At 35.9% G+C, this 19459-nt stretch overlaps 1 long non-coding RNA gene across 2 annotated transcripts in view; it reads right to left on the reverse strand.

Moving 5' to 3' along the window:
- Window positions 1-418: 418 nt before the first annotated feature.
- LOC105372190 (uncharacterized) overlaps window positions 419-19459 on the reverse strand; it is a 312925-nt gene continuing 293884 nt past the window's right edge. The window contains exon 7 of one of the 2 annotated variants that reach the window (XR_007066468.1): window positions 419-498. This is a non-coding gene — a long non-coding RNA (uncharacterized LOC105372190). Of the gene's footprint in view, window positions 499-4254; window positions 4404-19459 lie in introns of those variants that run through there. The other variant, XR_007066469.1, reaches the window with a different exon arrangement.

Consider the following 19459-nt stretch of genomic DNA (forward strand, 5'->3'; position numbering starts at 1 on the left):
AACTTAAAGTATAATAAAAAAAGAAAGATATTCAAACATTCAGCAAAATGAATGAATCTCAGAAACATGCTAAGCAAAACACCCAAATACTAAAGAAAACACAATCTATGATTCCATTTATATGACATTTCAGAACAGCCAAACTGATCTACAGTAAAAGAAAGCAACTTCGTGGTTCTCCAGGACTTGGAATTAGGGTGAAAGATTGAATGCAAAAGGCCCTGAGAATTTTTGTAAGTTGATGGAAATATTCTACACCTTAATTGGGGGGTTACATGGTGTGTATATTTGTGAAATTATACATTTAAAATGGGTACATTTTCTTGAACATAAATTATATTATAAAAATGTTTATTTCAAAGTATAAGAGAAAAATAAAAGGGGATATTTTTAAGTAAATTATATACTCACTTTTACGTTTGGAACTATAATTATTACAAATAAATAATTCTTGGCATTATGAACATCAGACGTCTCAAATGGAGCCCGGTGTTTTTCCTACAAAAAAAGTAAATGCTGCAGCTGAGTTAGAAGAATTCAAAGATGCACAGTTGCTACTCAAAAGATAAGCATATATTTTCAAAACCTGTAAACATAAAAGGAAATAAAGCAACAACTGTTTAGAATATTTCTAGAATAATCATTTATCTAGAAGTGTTTGCATTATTGAGGCAGTAAGCTAGGTAGACTAATATCAAACGTTAGTTATTTTTATAAATGACAATCCTAAAATAGAATCTTCTCATGCCCTATTTCCTATCAATTTATTTCCATTATAATAAAATATTATCTTACTGATTTTTTGTTTTAAGATTTTTTTTGGCTTCACAATTTTATATTGTCCCCAAAATTAAAAATACATATATTTCCATTGTTACATTCAGTTTTCTAAAATCTGTTATGTTAAAAAATCATTTATTTTTAGTTCATTTCAGATATAGATAACACTTCATATATGTTATCTTCCATATGAAACATAACTCCAATGTGAAACAAAAGAAATATTACACCCCATCCTCTCTGTAAATCAGTTGAAAACATACTAAGTATAGATAAAATTTACATTAACTTTTAGTGAAAATCATTTTAATAATGGATTTTTTTAATATTTTAAAATACCTATTGAAAGATTATTTACAAATTATATTTAAATAACTTCAAATAAACAAGAATAAAAAGCTGAAATTATAATAACTTACTTTTGGATAATTACTAATTAATATCTTTGCAAAGCCAAAAACTTAGCCTTAAGGAGTAATAAATGTAAAAAATAATAATAAAAGTAAATGATGAGAATCAAAGTTTGCTCTGAGAATAATTGTGTATGAAACAAAATCATTTCTTGGTGAAGTGTCACATTTATTTTATATAAACTAATATGAGTTCATCCTTTCATTTATAAATTAAATCATCATAAAATATCTATCACTTTTGATAACCTATTACATTTTCAAAATATTCATCCAAATGAGTAATTATTCATATTATTCCTACATTCAACTGAAGAAATTGAAGACAGCCAATTTATTGGACTAGCCCCAGGATATATCAGTTGTCAACAGCGAAACTAAAATTTGATATGATTTCTGGTTGCCTCTTTCACCAAGCCAGACAAAGAACTGTAATTTTGAAAAGATTATCTGATAATATTCAGTATATTTTATTTTCTTTGGTTCTTTAACATTATACTACCTATCAAAAGAATTATTTGAGATATTTTATTTGTTCATTACAAATCTTTAAACTGATTTTAATGTGGTATACTTAAAAATATTTTTTACAGAAATTTCCTAATATTAACTAAAAAAAATGAAGAGTTTGTTTACCACTCCCTGAGATTAACTGCTGTCTATAATTATATAATCCTTATTTGTATTCAGGAAATTTCTAAGTTTCTCCTAAATTTTATGAAAAGAATATAGAGCAATGTATTAAAAATGATATGGAGACTGTGAAAAAAGTGCCATACAAATATGAAAATTAAGTTTACAATCTACCTCCTTCTTTTATAATTACTGCATTGAATCATGACAGAATTCCTAAAGCCCTTTAAATCTTGAAACATATTTTTCTAAAGAAATATGTTTATAGTTTACTTCTATGATTACATTCACTTTATTTGAGAATCCATAAAATTTATTCCATAAATTTAGCTAAACCTTAAAATTGACTTGAATTCTGTAGCTATATATGTTACTATATTTGCTTATATATGTGCATGTATATGTGCATGTATGTATATATAAATTAAGTCTGCAGAACATTCCTGTGAGGCAGTTATTACTATTTTTCCCAATTCGGCATATTTATACTCACTGCCATTACCTGGGAGTTTTTGTATTTTAGTTTCTATCATTAAATAAACCCCTTCAATTTGTTATCAATCTAGATCAGATCAAGTTGCCACTGTCTCCTAAGATATGCTAATTTTGAAGGTTTTTGACCCTGTCACACTCCCTGTCAGTGGCCAACCAAGAACAAGGTTAGTTGGGATAAAACTGGCTTAATCTTGGCCCCTTCTTCATAATGTCTTAGCATGCTTTGCTGGAAAATTCAAATGTGTTAAGCCAAGTTTACAATAAGTTGTTAGCTTTATCAAATTGTTATCAAAGTGCAAGACTACATATTAAATTCTACCAGTAAGTAATGATATATTTATTTATGTACTCTGACAGAATTATTATTAGCCGTGTCCCTGAGTCTGTGCTTTTAGATAATTTAAATATTTGAATTCAACTGTTCTCACCAAAAGAAAGATTATCAGAACCTAGAAGTAGATTACTGCTTTTACCATAGTGGTTATACATTGAATCAAAATTATGTTATATAAAGTTTCTGCATATATAAAAGTAATAAAGAAAGAAAGGAAAATTCAGACATCCTCTAGGAATTACTAATACATCCATCTACATTTCTGCCAGAGAATGTGGTAAGAGTGTTATAAAAGCATCGTTTTGACATCAAATACAATTTGAGGGCAAAAGAATATAAAATTGTCTATAACTCTTGTAATTGCATTGATTCCAAAAATGATCCAAAGGCACTTCTTCAATCTTTGAAAATATGATACTTATTATGGTGAAAAAAAATAAGAAAACAGAAGAAATCAAAACATTTTTCAAGGAAAATGACTTTACTTAGTTTAAAATAAGAATAAAAATAATGTTTTTTCTTCCACTAGACAGTTAAACCACAGAAAGAGAAAATGGCTGATAACTAAACATAGTTTTTCTTGTACTATCACCCTGGGGGCAGTTCATTTCTGAAGATGACTGCATATTTCCATGCTGATCTCAATGAGCATTTGCTTAGAATAACTAGAGAAAGACTTGAAAAAAATAATGTTTTCATTTTGTATGCCAAATTTTTTATAAAATGTGTGCGCATTGTTGTGATAAGCAGCAATTGTCATACAGCATATTCAGGGGAAGGTGGGCCAGTGAACCCAGAGCTATCCAGAAACTTTCTGTAATGACGAAAATATTCCAAAATCTTCACTACCCAGTACCATCACTAGCCAAGTTTAGCTGTTGATCACCAGAAATGTGGCTAGTGCACTTAAGAAGGTGAATTTTTAATTGTATTCAATTTAAATGGAGATAGCCACACAGGGCTAGTGCCACCACACTGAACAAAACAATTCAGATACCACTCTTTCATTTTAGTTACAAAAAAAGTTGAAATGCAGATATGAGTTGCCTGATAATACAGCAAAAATGGCAGAAACTCCCACAGATACCCCATCTAATAATGAGTTTGATGCCCTTTCTTCCTTTTAAAAGAAATATTTATCAGCACTTTCTGTAAGGGTAACAGGATGTTGAAGTTTAAGTGTATGTACAAAATGTGCACAAAAATGATCCACTGACTCAGGAATAGGTGTACTCTGAATCATTTTTTAAACATTTTTATTGCCTTTTTGGCACAGTGTCAGTATTTTATAAACAAACAGAGGTATCAAAAAAAAATCAAGGGAATTGAATCAAATCTGTGTTTACCCTGTGTATATAAGTTATATGGCAAAATTGGGTCATTGCATTATGAGAGATTGAGAATCTACAGTGAATGTGCTTACAGCAAGATGAAATGTGATAGATGTTTGATATGTGTTAACTTAATTGTTTTTAAGAGCTTGACTGAGGTATAATTGCCATAAAACAAATTGCCCATGTTTCGTGTATATAGTTTGATAAGTGTGATGCTATGACATAGAATTTCTTTTACAGCAGTAAATTGGGGCAGTTGTAGAATTCACCTCATTTGGTTTTCCTCTTCTCATGGATTCTCATCTTGATTTGCCTGATCTCAAATACCTTGTTTCATATATCTTGTCCTGATTTTTACTTGTTGTAGGCAAGAGTAAATCCAGTGTCTCTTACTCAGTCTTGTCCTGAAGTGAATGCCTGATTTGTAAACAGTTCGAGATACATCAAGAGGTGTTTTCACTCTTCCGCTGTTTCCCAGCAACCTTAAGCTTTTACTTTCCTACTCAAATTCTAGCATGTTCAACTGCCTTATACCTTGATCCTTTGTTAAAATCGACCCCCTCCCAAAATTCTCGATAATATATCAATACCATTATCTGCCTCTGTTACTTACAATGACAAGCAGTCATGCTTTGCCAGCAAAAGTCACACAACCAATTTGTTTATTCAATATAAGATATGTGAGGAGTAGTTTTGTTGCAGTTTCATCTACAATTGGGTCTAGGAGAGGTGATTGGGGAGAATTCAGAAGTAATATCAGATTTGGTTTAAATTACCCATGCTTATCAGGGACGTATAACTATTCCAAATATGTTTTGTATTACGCATATGTGCATCTTAAAAGCAAGCCATTGCATCACTACTTGGAGACCTGTAGGAGGGGGCTGTGAGTTTGAGAATGAATTCAAAACTGTCTTAAGTAGTTTTAAGTAACTGGAGGCTTGACTCAAGCATCTGTAATAATATATAACATTTCTGAGGATTTAATATATGCCCAGAACATTTTAAGTGTTGTGTATTAACTTATCTTCTATCTTTTTAGATCTTGGTAATAACCCTGCAGCTATTATATTAACTCCATATTACAGATGAAAAACTGAAACATGAAGAAGTAAAAATGTACACTAGACTACAGAATTAGCAATGGAACTTGGTTTTATTTTGAACATTTGCTGTCATCACACACTGTGTTAAATGAATATTAACAGCATACAAGATGGAGAGAGGTAGACTGCATTCTTCAGAGAATACTGTGTGATACCTGGACAGCACTAGTAGATTTGTGAAATGATTTTTTTCATTGATAGCTTTCTTTTTTGCCATTCATTTCTCTTATTTTTAGCACCCACGTCATTCTGGGTCCATTGTCTCAGGGGAAGACATCAAGGGAAAAATTAGAGAAAAGTATTTTCTGCTTTATGTTGTGTGGAGCAGGGGAGAGGGAGAGTCTTGAAGAATGCCATCTTCTGTATCTTTCAAGAGATAACTGCAGAGCCTCACATGGCAGAAAATTACTGGCAATGGCCATCAGATATGGGAGGTCATGTAGGTGAGAACAGAAGACACTGCAAAGGTGACCTTTGTGAGCCAGCACTGGATAAGGACAGTTGCCCCCAGTCAACACCTATGTGGACAAGGGTACAAATTCAACACCCCAACCCGACCCCTGATACTTCACAAAGCTGCAGTAACCTTTTCTAGGGGAAAAGAGACAGAAACTCCAATTAGACAGTTATTAAGTTACAATAACTCTGGACTGGTCATTGAAGGTAATGTGAGTTGTGGAAAAATAAGGAACACTCTACTCTTTGCACATTATGATTGTGTGCTGAGAGTAAACTCTGCCATGAGATCACAAAGATGTGGGTAAGGAACTCTGATGGTAACCCTGTGAGATTAATATGAAATGAGAATTTTACAAAGAACAGGATAATTAGGACTAAATGGAGAAGAGGTTGAACTGGTGATTTATGGAAAGGGGCCCTGACCAAAGAGATGTGAAAGGAGGTCAGGTATAGAACAGACTTAAGAATCTGATGAACTATAGTATCTTCTCTACATGACGACACTGTCCAAAATTTCTTTCAGAAATTCTTTCAGATGAACTTTCCATATATTTTACGTAAACAGAATATGCCATTATGTGAGATACTAGCAATGTTTCATTTGATATTATATGAGAGGCAGCGTGCTAGAGGCTTTGTAGACATATCTTTATCTTTTCAATAACTCTGAAATACATTAGAGTGTGCCTACCCTATAAGTAGTAGAGCCAAGGGGGAAAAACTAGTCTGAGTTTCAACAAAATCTTTTAAGTGCCGGGATACCATTTTAGGTTATTTTCAATAGTTTATTGAGTCATGTATTAAAATAATTATTCTATCACTTCATAATCATAAAAACTGAACAATAAGGGAAAAGTATTTTTATTAAGTTGAAAGGAGAAATGAAAGGAACGTATTTAAGCATATGAGTCAGGCAGGCCCACATGAGATTGCACCATTGGAAAAGGGATTCGACTAGAGTTCAGGGGTGGAAAGAAAGGAACTTATAGTATGGAATGAAAAGAATCAAAATGCTACCAGGGCTCGAGAGAACAATTTTTCTTCCTTCACAATATTGCCTATCACTTCTGGAGAGCAGTCAGATTTTGAAGATAAGAGAATGATTTATTGGAAACATACATTTAGACTTTTCCAGTGGTGTACATAATTTCATGTGCAATCACACACAGGCTGTGAAATTTTCTTTCCTCCTTGAAAACTAGTGTTACCCCTTATCACTGGAGGCAAAATAGTTTGATCCCGAAACAATGTAATTTATTGCTGCTGAGACCTCTCACACTCATTCTTTCCACACCTTGAAATCTTGATGCTTCTTGTACCAAGGACAAATGATTCAGAAGGCTCTATAGAAGAGTGAGGAGAAACTATAGAAAAAGATAACTCTTGGGGAATTTGCTTTGAAGCGTTTTATGGGAGCAAAGGTACATTAATAGATAATATTCCACATGAGGTTATGATATTAAGATTGAACTTCATCTTTGAGTAAATGATGTAAACTCGATCATTGCATGAAAGAAAATCGTTTCTCAAAAGTCCAAGAACCTAATTTTTGGTCAACAAATATAATGGCCTGATTGGTCTGAATCTGAGAATTTATTTAGAACTCTAACCTAAGACGTTCAAGCTGTAGCACAGGCATTGTGTAACTAAGAATGAAGGAATGTAAATCTATAGAGAAAGAAAATCATGAAGGCTATGTGCGGAGACTGTAGGAGAAATGCAACGGAAGGGGGGATATAACCAAGGTCACTAATATTTTCGAAGATATAACATAGGTCTCCAGTGCCCAAATTCAGAATATTTCCGGGGTTCTTAGGTTGATAAAACATCTCTACCTTCCATAATTATAATACAAATAAGTTATTTACTCACTTATTTGTTTACTTGAAATGTATTTAATTTATTTATACAAATTTATTTGCAATAAAAGATCTCTAATTAACCCAAGACAATAAGTCCGTTCTCATTTCTTCCTGCAGCTAAAACCCTTAGTATTCTCCATTAATACTTGAAACCATTTCCTGCATATTTTCCCAAATGTTAGGAAATAACATCAAAATAGCACTGTTTCCCGGCTTCATTACTGATTTTGACATTGAATTAACACCTGTTTTAGATACACTTTAGTTCTTCTAAAGGCATTTTTTTTAACTTGGATTACAAACTTTTAGAAGGCATATTATGAATATGAGATATCCTCATACTTCTGCAACATATAATACATTTTATGTACATTTTAAAGAACACTGAACTGTCTGTTGATTAAGTGGAATAAAAATGTGAATATAATAGCAAATTTAAGCAATTTCTGGGTGCCATTGTCTACTTAAGAAATAGTGATAATTCACGCCTGTAATCCCAGCACTTTGGGAGTCCAAGGTGGGTGGATCATGAGGTCAAGAGATTGAGACTATCCTGGCCAACATGGTGAAACCCCGTCTCTACTAAAAATACAAAAATTAGGTGGGCATGGTGGTGCACACCTGTGGTCCCAGCTACTTGGGAGGATGAGGCAGGAGAATCGCTTGAACCTGGGAGGCGGAGATTACAGTGAGCCGAGATCATGCCACTGCATTCCAGCCTGGTGAGAAAGAAAAAAAAGAAAGGATAGAAAGAAAGAAGGAAGGAAGGAAGGAAGGAAGGAAGGAAGGAAAGAAAGAAAGAAAGAAAGAAAGAAAGAAAGGAAGGAAGGAAGGAAGGAAGGAAGGAAGGAAGGAAGGAAAAGAAAGAAAGAGTGATATTATCTCAGTGATAGAAAAGTTTGAAATTTTGCTGATCCTAAGTATGCATTGCTTAAATAGGACCACCTATTAATACTCCATGGGACAGCCAAATCTATATTATTTTATTTGTCTGGGTAGCTATTTTAGAGTAAAATCTTTCTTACTGTTTCTTTTTTTCTTCCTTCCTTTTTTGCTTGTTCTTCTGAGAATAGCATAGGCATATTAACAGAAAATAATATTCTCTTGGCCTCACTATTTTCATGATTCTTCAGAACAACCTTCATTTTCTTAATGCAAATGTACAGCACAATGTATTGGCCATCACACTATGCAGCTACCTGCTGTATGAATGCTAAATGTATTTCTTTTGAAAAATAGTATATAAAACTATGAAATTGTAGCTAGTATCTGAGTTTAACAAATTATCATAATATTGAATCTTTTACACATGAATTTTTAAAATTATTTGGAGAACTTCTGAGTAGGTGATGCCAGCCACCTAAATCTGAATCTCTCCATATATCCTCCAAAACCTATAGTTAAAAAAAAAAGTCACAAATAGAACAAAATAAATCCCCTGTCTTCAGAATAACTGGGGCACGGAAAACACGATGTAGTTATAACTAGTCATGAGTAGAAAAATGTGTTTCAAATTTTTTATAGTGCTGTCTGTCAGTCTTTCTCCACAGCTTTTACAAAGAATGAGACGTGAGTCTGGCAAACGTGCACGAAAAAGAAGAATAGGCCAGGAATGTTGGCTCATGTTTGTAATCCCAGAATATTGGGAGGCTGAGGTGGGTGGATCTCTTGAACGCAGGAAGTCAAGGCTGCAGTGAGCCATGATTATGCCACTGCACTTTAGCACCCCAGCCTGGAAGGCAGAGCAAGACCCTATTACAAACAAGCAAACAACAACAACAACAACAAAAAAGCAGAGAGAGAGAGAGAGAGAAAGGGCCAAATGACCCACCAGAAAATGTGAACGTATTTGTACAGATGAGATCACTGACTACAGCAAAGGAACTGCAAGGGAACTCAAGGTAACTGTCCTGGAAAGTTCAAATTATGGGGAGAATGGGATTAAAAGGATAGAAGAGATGTCCTTGGGATTCTTGGATGTATGGGAGGAAGAAAAGGGGCAGGGGTTGATTTCAGCAAAATGGCAGAGTAGGCAGCTCCAAAGAAAGCCTGGGGAGAAGAAAGTAGGGACTGTCAGAACCAACGTTGTTAAAACCCTGGGAAACACAGGTTTATGATAACTCAGCAAACACTGAATCAGGAAAAAAGACAAGTTAAAAATAGGATAGGAAGGCTTTGTGTTGTTTACTCTAGAATGAAAAGTGTGGTAGTGACACCTGAGTTGACAGATAAGTAACATAGAATTGAAAGTCAAGAAATCATACAGTACCTATGAAACTACTTATTTTAAAACATCAGCATTTCAAGTCACTCAGGGAAAGATAGACTACACATAAAAATCATCTCCAAGTAGATCACATACCTAAATGTAAAAAAAATTGAAATCCTGGAGTTACTAAGATAAAGTATGGATGATTCCCCAATAACCTGTTGAAAATTTTTCATTCTATGACTCAAAATCTTGATGCAATAAAAAAAATAAAATAAAATATTCAACAAGAAAAAAAAGATCAGGAACTGAAAAAAACTGATTACATGATTATTTGTAAACGTGCTAAATTATGAATAAAGTCAAAAGATGAATTACAAGTTGGGAGAAAATATTTGTGCTGTATATTACAGATAATATGTTCATCCCTAATTTGTAAAATAACATTTTTAATTTTACATTTATTTATTTTAAATGGACAGATTAAATAGTACATAATTATGTACAATATGACATCTTGAAGTATATATACATTGTGGAACGGTTAAATCTAGCTAATTGAGATATACATTGTCTCACATAGGTATCATTTTTGTAGTGAGGACAATTAACATTCATTCTCTCAGCATTCTTTAAGAATACATCATCAACTATAGTCACTATGCTGTGCAATAGATCTCTTAAACTTATTCCTTCTGCCTAACTGTAATGTTCCTATCCTTTGAGTAACATTTCCCCAGTTCCCTGTATCCCCAATCCAAACTTCTGATAGAAGAGGCCGCAGCCTCCAGTGAGGGCCCCTTTTGGTCCATGGATATCCCACTTTGGGAAGTCATTTTGCTGGGGGTTGCATCATTTTTAAAGGTACAGGGTTGGAAAAGGCCAGTGGTTTTCAAACTCTGTTATTTGGAATCAAAATAATTTCACACTGTTCTCCATAGTGGTTGTAATATAATAATTGTACATTTAAAAATAACTTTAAAAATGTAATTGGATTGTTTGTAACTCAAGGGATAAATGTTTGAGACCATGGATATTCCATTCTCCATGATGTGCTGATCTCACATTGCATGCCTGTATCAAAACATCTCATGTACCCTATAAATATATACAGCTACTATGTACCCAAAAAGTGTTTTAAAAATTTAAAAAAAATTCCACATGACCCTGCTTGAAGGACCCTTTAGAAGCTGGAGGTAGCATATGCAGGACAAATAATGTAGTGACTCCAGGTCCCTCATACAGAAAAAATATGCATTTATTTATTTAATTTACTTCGTATCTTTAATTACTTCATATTTTAGGCATCCACATTCTATTTTATATAAAGAAAAGCACCTCAGTGATAATATAATTCCTGAAATACTACTTAACTTTCTGATTTCTAAGAACATTTTCAGTTCTAATGATTTTCTATCCACCTATCTACCTACCTATCTTATATAATGGGTCCTATGATATACGTATATATGTATACATATGTATATATATGTACATATGTATATCATAGGAGGGTTAGGGTTGGATATGTACATATCCATGTACATATGTATATTATAGGACACATTATATATGCTAGGTAGGTAAATAGGTGGATATATATAATGTGTAGTAATGTATTACATTCCAGTGCTTCCAGCACATTATAGCCACATATCTACCTACCTATCATATGTAGATATCACCCTAAGATATATAGGACCCATTTTATATGATAGATAGGTAATAGGTGGATCTAATGTGCTGGAAGCACTGGAGTGTAACAAAAGTGTTTTATTTTGGAGGATCAAGAAAGCTTTAATGGAGGATGTGTGATTGAGCTGGACCATGATAGACATATAAGATTTCAACAAGCGAAGGTGGCAAAAGTCATTTCCAGGTGAGGGAACAATGTACTAGAAATAACAATAGGCAAGAACATCAAAAGTCACTTCATTTATTAAAAATTGGGGTTAAAAAGACAAGGGGCAGTGCCTCATGCCTATAATCTCAGCACTTTGGGAGGCAGAGACAGGGGTATCTGCTTGAGCCCAAGACTTCAAGACCAGTCTGGTCAACAGAGTGAGACCCCATCTCCACAAAAAATTTTAAAAATTAGCCAGGCATGGTGTCACACACATGTGGTCCCAGCTACTCAGGAGGCTGAAGTGGGAGAATCTCTTGAGCCCGGGAGGTCGAGGCTACACTGAGCCGTGATTGCACCACTGCACTCCAGCCTGGGTGACAGAGAAAAACCCTGCCTCAAAAAAAAAAAAAAAAAAAAGGAAAAAAAAGAGAAGGGGTTTAAGATAATTTAATGGTGTATAATGTTAGAAAACTAGTGTAAACCTAGGTAGAATGGGTTAAACGTCTTGCTTAGGAATTTTAATTTTATTATGTGGAAAATTCCCATTTAATTGAAATATTTAACTAGGAAATGCATAATCAAATGGTGCTTCTGAACAGTGATTCTGCAAAGCAGCATTCTCAATAGGCATAAATAAAAAAGATAGAAGTGTCAGATGAAATCACAGATTTAGATGAAATTGCCAAATGACAGCAGAGCCCGGAACAGTGGCCAGTCCGGGACAGAGGAAGACAACAGGTCAAAGCGAGAGATGAGGGCCGTCAGCAAGGCTGGGACAGTAGCAACAAAAGTCAGTTCACTTTCACTACAGAGAGGATCCTAGAGATTGGGAAAGGCCCTAAGTATGCCTGACAAGCTTTTATTTTCTCAGTGGTACCTCTCAGAGGCTCATGACATAAATACTGAAGTTCACGAGGTAAGATTAAATACACATGCCCGAAAGAATACAAATACTAAGAAGACCCCTCCGAATGTATTTTTAATCAATTCCCCACTTCTCACCAGAACACCAAAGGAACCGTTCTGATTTTCATTCTTCCCTGAAAATACAGTCATGTTGCCATCAGTCCTGCTAAGTTAAAAGGCACCGTGGACTTTGTGACTTGTTGCAAGGTCTTCTAGATGTCACCAATAGTGTTACATATGGACCACTTAATCCAGAGCCTGGGACCACTGGGAACCCAGGACACTAGCAGTCCAGGATCTCCAAAAAATGATTCTTATTGACCTCTTGTTTACATTTTTGGTTCTCCTTGTATTTGAATTTGTGTAACTCTAATGTGACATATGAATATGAGTGTGTGTGTGATTGTGTGTGTGTGATCATGGAGAGAATACAAATTTAGCTCAAGTCATTTTCTGAATGTTTCAAGAAATTGACATTTTAGGAGTCTGATGTAAAGAAAAATGAGTCCTTTCACTTCCAGGTTAGTAGTGTGAATTCAGCTCAGCTCAGTATTAACTCTTAACTATGAAATATGTGATGTTCCCCTTCCTGTTCAATTCCCACCTATGAGTGAGAACATGCGGTGTTTGGTTTTTTGTCCTTGCGATAGTTTGCTAAGAATGATGGTATCACACACCGGGGCCTGTTGTGGGGTGGGGGGAGGGGGGAGGGATAGCATTAGGAGAGATACCTAATGTAAATGACGAGTTAATGGGCAAAGCACACCAACATGGCACATGCATACATATGTAACAAACCTGCACGTTGTGCACACGTACCGTAGAACTTAAAGTATAATAAATATATATATATATAAAACAAAATAAAATAGATGAATAAATAAAAAGAAATATGTGCTGTTTGGGTTGGCTCCATTATAAAAATAAGATGTCTACCCATTCAGACCTGAAAGCCATCCATATTCTCCAAATCAGCAGCACACAATTTCTGACAAGTGAAGATAAACACAATAGGATGCAGTAAGATGGCTTAATATAGTACTTTACTCAAGCAGTTTGTAAATATACTCTGAATCATTCCAAGACAATTTTTATTCAAAATAGAAATTAAATAAGTAGGTTGTGACTTGTTGCAAGGTCTTCTAGATGTCACCAATACTGTTACATATGGACCACTTAATCCAGAGCCTGGGATTAAGTTGGCTACACATTAATAGTGGGGTGAATTAATCTATGCCTTACTGAGCCTCGAATTCGAGAGCAAGACCTTCTTTAGGCTGTAAGTAGGACGTGTTCTTTGGAGATGGGGAACATACCCTAAAAGTCCATTGCCAATTTTTTTACTTTACTTTCCTGTAATGACATTTTCTGCTGTGGTGCTGGTTCAGTGTAGATGCTGGATAACATTTTTATAATGAATGAATGTGTGAATGGATAGTCTGTGAGCTAAAAATAGAAGTAGAACCTCTAATATAATCAGTTTATTTTATACAGCTTGAAAATACATCAAAAATAACTGGAATGAAAAAGAGCACCATCATCTTGAACACAGCTTGGAAGAGAAAGCACAGATGGAGGAAGACAGCGTCACGCCCATCACCTGGCTCTTTCCTCAGAGATGGCTGCCCCCTCTTTTATACTTTCTGTACTGAACCTAGAAACAATACCTTTTGCCAACTCAGATGTGACATTGTTCTTCCAGCTTCATTTTACTTCCCAACCCTTTACTTAAATGTCTGATTCCTCCTGAGTCAAAATGAGTGTTTTCATGGGCAGAAAAGGAGTGTAAATGGGTGCTTGATAAATGTTTATTGAAATAAATGGAATAGGTCTGTGCTAATTTTTATTTATTTATTCCAAAAATACTTAAGACTCAAGGATGTATTAAACATTGCTTTTGGTGTTAGAGATACAGCAATGAAGAAAACAGACAAGAATTCCAGCCTTGGCGGGTGGTTAGACACATAATAAGCAATATAAATAAGTAACATCTTAGACAAAGCCTGGAAAAGTTTGTATTGAAATGGGCCTTGGAGAGAAATCATTGCAATTTTAGATTAGGAAATCAGGAAGACCCTTACTGATAATGTGACATTTAAATGGAGACTAGAAAGAGATGAGGAAGTCAGCAATGGAATATCTAGAAGAAAATCCCAGGTAAGGTTAATGGCAAGTATCAAGGCCTTTAGGTGGAAACACCCCAGGATGTGGAAGAACCTAAAAGACAACTCCAAGGTTTTGGAACTAAGTCAAATGGAATTTCCATTTACTGAGATGAGAGAGCTGATTCAGGGTAGACTACATCAGATATTCAACTTAGAAAATACTTGGTTTTTAAATGGTGAGCAGATGTTCAAACACAGATATCAAACACAGAGTTGGATATACATGTGTGATGGTTAATGTAGAGTGTCAACTTGATTGGATTGAAGGATGCAAAGTGTTGATCCTGGGTGTCTGTGAAGGTGTTGCCAAAGGAGATTAACCTTTGAGTCAGTGGACACGGAAAGGCAGACCCACCCTCAATCTGGGTGGACACAGTCTAATCAGCTGCCAGCATGGTCAGAATAAAAGCAGCAGGCAGAAGAAGATGGAGAGAGTAGACTGGCTTAGCCTCTAAGCCTACATCTTTCTCCCATGCTGAATGCTTCCTGCCCTCAAATATCAGACTCCAAGTTCTTGAACTTTGGGACTCAGACTGGCTTTCTTGCTCCTCAGCTTGCAGATGGCCTATTGTTGGACCTCACCTTGTGATCATGTGAGTTAATACTCCTTAATAAACTCTCCTTTATATATACATCTATCCTATTAATTATCTCCCTCTAGAGAACCCTGAGTAATACAACATGTTCATATGAAGTCAGGGAAAGGATCCAGCCTGGAGATATACATTTAATACTTGTTAGCAAATTCAATATATTTTAATCCAGGAGTCTGGATAAGTGCCTCAATGGAGTGGCTGTCATCAAAGAGAAGAGGCCCAGTACTTCAGCCCTAGAAGGCATCATTAAGGCCAGAGAGAAGCAGTAACTGGGGAAGGGAAGAACATGCGTGGAAAGAAAACAAAGGCCATGTAAAGTCCTGGGAGTCAAGAAAATATTTTGAGAAGAAGAAGTAATCAGCACAGAAATGCTGATGGGTCAGATAATTGAAATAGGCCAGAAAACTGAGAATTGATGATAACATAGTGGTCATTGGTCTGTTTGATAAGAAGAATTGTGGTAAAATGGAGGAAGCAAAAGACACATTGGAGGGAAACTGGAGGAATTTCAAGTTTTCCTCCAAAGGGACACAAATGTTATGATACCCAGGGAAGAAAAATGAAATAGGGGGTGGATGGGATTTATTTTAATGTTTGAGTAATTTTCAATGGGGGAAATACAAGGAGGTTTATGTGACAATGAGCTGGGAGAAGAAAATGTTGAGTTAGCTTAGAGGAGTGATCAAGGGACTCAAAGTGAAGTCTGTGGGACCATGCAGAAATGCAGAATCTCAGAATCCAAGAAGACAATCCCCAGGTGATTTGTATTCACATTAAAGTTTCAGAAGCACTGATCTATTGCAGTGGAGGGATTGGTCTTAGCCAGATGGGCCCAATATCATCATAAGGATCCTTAAAAGTGAAAGAGAACATTGGAAGAGAACCAGAGAGAAAGCACCATGAGGAGAATTAAGCCCAATGGTGCTGGCTGAAATTAAGATGCTAGCAGAGCCGGACACAGTGGCTCACGCCTGTAATCCCAGCACTTTGGGAGGCCGAGGCAGGTGGATCACTTGAGGTCAGGAGTTGGAGACCAGCCTGGCCTACATGGAGAAACCCCATCTCTACTAAAAATACAAAAAATAGTTGGGTGTGTTGGCGAGCACCTGTAATCCCAGCTACCTGGGAGGCTGAGGCAGGAGAATTGCTTGAACCCAGGAGGCAAAAGTTGCAGTGAGCCAAGATGGCACCACTACACTCCAGCCTGAGTCACTGGAAAAAAAAAAAAAAGATGCCAGCGGGGCTGTGCTCTCCCAGGAGGCTCTATTGCACAGGTAGAAGAATTTGCCTCAGCCAGAAGAGCCTGCAGTTCAACTGTAATAATCAGAAAGAAGATATAGCCATAGGTGATAATGAGGTTGAGAGATGTCATGGTGAAAGTTTGTGGGGTTCCTGTCTGATTGCTTCTCCTTTCTCATTTCAGTAGGAAAAAAAGCCTCATCTGAGACTGACTATGGGAGAAAAAGGTATCAAAACATAGATACATTGATAGTAGATATGAAACAGTCTCCCAGGTGGGTAGAAGAGGAAGTAGTCAAGGGAAATACAGTATTAAGGTCCCAGTCGAGGTTAGTGGATGAGTTTAACGTTAATTCCTTTGGCATGGCTTTGTGCTCTCCCACATCAATGGTTAGGTACCAAGTGTATTAGTTTCCCGTTGCTGCTGTAACAAATTACTACAAATCTAGTGATTTAAAATGATACAAATTTATTGTTTTATACTTCTGGAGTTCAGAATTCCAAAGTGGGCCTCAGTGGGCTGAAATTAAGATGCCATCAGAGCTGTGTTCTCCCTGGAGGCTCCAGGCAAGAATCCATGGGTTCATCCTTTCCACCTTCTGGACATATTCTTTAGTCCATGCTCCCCTTCATCCATCTGTAAAGCCAGCACCATTGGCCTTGATTCTCTTCATGCTGCTTTCTATCTGGTTCTTTTCCAATTTTCTCTTTCACTTTGAAGGACTCTTATGACATTGGGCCCACCTGTATGTTCTCCCTAGCATAAGGTTTGCTGATTGAAAATATTAATGCCATCTGCAACCTTAATTCTGCTTTGCCATGTAAACAACCATATTTTCAGGTTCCAGGGATTTGGATGTGTACACTTTCGGGGGCCATTATTCTACCATCGTGCCTAACACACCATGGTGCAGTGAAGAAGTAGGATGTAATCAAGCCATGGTTTTGCCAAAGGAGCACACGCTGTGAAGTGAGAGCAGGAAGGGGTTTCGAAGGTATATCCAGATGAGTTATTATAATGATAAGTTATGAAATTTTAGCTCAACAAGAAAGATAATTGTTAGATGACAGGCTTGAGAACCTTTAGAAAGAAAGGTTCATAGATTGATATGATTAATGGAATCAGAGTTACAGGGCAAGATAGGAGATGTTGATCAGAAAGTGAAATGTTTGAAATCGAGATGAAGGAAAGGTTGCAGATACATGTGCCTCCAAGACTCAGGGTACAAGTATGGGCAGATTCTCTGATGGAGAGAATGACAGATAGGTAGGAGAATAAGTTACCTGGATTTTGAAGTAATCAAAAATTGTGACACACATCATGTAGGAATTCACCAAAGGGATGAATCCCAGCCAGACAAATAATCCTTTCTTTCCCCTGATTTTTAAACAATCCACATAGCTTTGGAACATAGTAGACTTAATAGATATTTGTAGAATGAATCTTATAACAATTAAATGTAAATGCAGTGATACCAAATACAAAATCTGGAGAGACCACCGAACCAGCATCATTTTCTAAGAATAAGTCATGTTATATCCAGGATGGAAATCTGACTGGGGTGTGTGTGCGTGTGTGTGTCACTGGATGCTATTATTTTATTCTACATATGGTACTACCTTTGAAACCAGCTATAACACATGTTAGTTGTACATATATTCAAAATATTTCTGAGGTCAAGGATCTGATATGTCTAGCTCAGAAAGCTATAACTCCTATCTTAGATTAAATAAACAGCTATGGTTGTTCACAGTGATATACATACAATTAAAATATTAATATTAATCAAAGGAGAGTTTTCTGGTTATCAGTTGCTATGGACGGAATTGTGTCCCCCACAATCATAAGTGGAAGTCCTAACTCCCAATGTGATGGTATTTGGAGACAGGCTTTTGAGAGGTAGTTAGGTATAGATGAGGCCATGGGGTGGTGCTCTCCTGATTAGATTAGTGCCTTTCTAAGGAGAGACACAGAAGAGCTTGCTCCTTTCTCTCTGTCCTGCCATGTGAGCATGAAATCTGTAACCCAGGAAGAGGGGCCTCACCACAGAAGTGAACCAACCAGCTGGCAGCTTGACCTTGGACTTCTGAACCTCTAGAAGAGTAAGAAATAAATTCCTTTTCTTTAGCCACCCAGTCTGTGGTAAGTTGTTACAGCAGCCTAAGCTGACTAGGATACAGCTCAAAGGGAAACTTGCGAGATATATATATATATCTGTATAATCTATGTCTTGCTTAATGCCTACTGAGCAATGACTGTAAGTTAACATTGTTCTAAGTTCTTTAAATACCTCATCCATTTAAGTAATCAAAAATAAAACTTTGAACATTCTGTTATAAATTTATAGCATTAAATATTAGACACTATATTGAATACAAGGTAATGGTTGTATATATATAAAATATATTATGCTTTTTAAGTTCTGGGATACATGTGCATAACATGCAGGCTTGTTACATAGGTATACATGTGCCATGGTTGTTAGCTGCACCCATCAACCCGTCATCTAGGTTCTAAGCCCTGCATGCATTAGGTATTTGTCCTAATGCTCTCCCTCTCCTTGCCCCCAACTCCCCAACAGGCCTTAGTGTGTGATGTTCCTCTCCCTGTGTCCATGTGTTCTTACTGTTCAACTCCCACTTATGAGTGAGAACATGCAGTGTATGGTTTTCTGTTCCTGTGTTAGCTTGCCGAGAATGATGGTTTCCAGCTTCATCCATGTCCCTGCAAAGGACATGAACTCATTCTTTTTTATGGCTGCATAGTATTCCATTGTGTATCTATGCCACATTTTCTTTATCCAGTCTATCATTGATGGCCATTTGGGTTGGTTCCAAGTCTTTGCTATTGTGAATAGTGCTAACTTGTGATATAGTTTAAACCATGGATGCATGTAATCTCTTTACCTTATTTGAAATCATGTTTACTCAGCTTTTTATATTGCATAAAATGAACAAATGTTCTATAGCAGATGATCAACAAAATCGTTTTTTGCTATAACTTTGTATTCAATATAGTGTCTAATATTTAATGCCATAAATTTACAACAGAACGTTCAAAGATTTATTTTGATCACTTAAATGA

Source organism: Homo sapiens, chromosome 18 (assembly GCF_000001405.40).
Source record: "Homo sapiens chromosome 18, GRCh38.p14 Primary Assembly".
In the NCBI taxonomy this organism is placed as follows: Eukaryota; Metazoa; Chordata; class Mammalia; order Primates; family Hominidae; genus Homo; species Homo sapiens.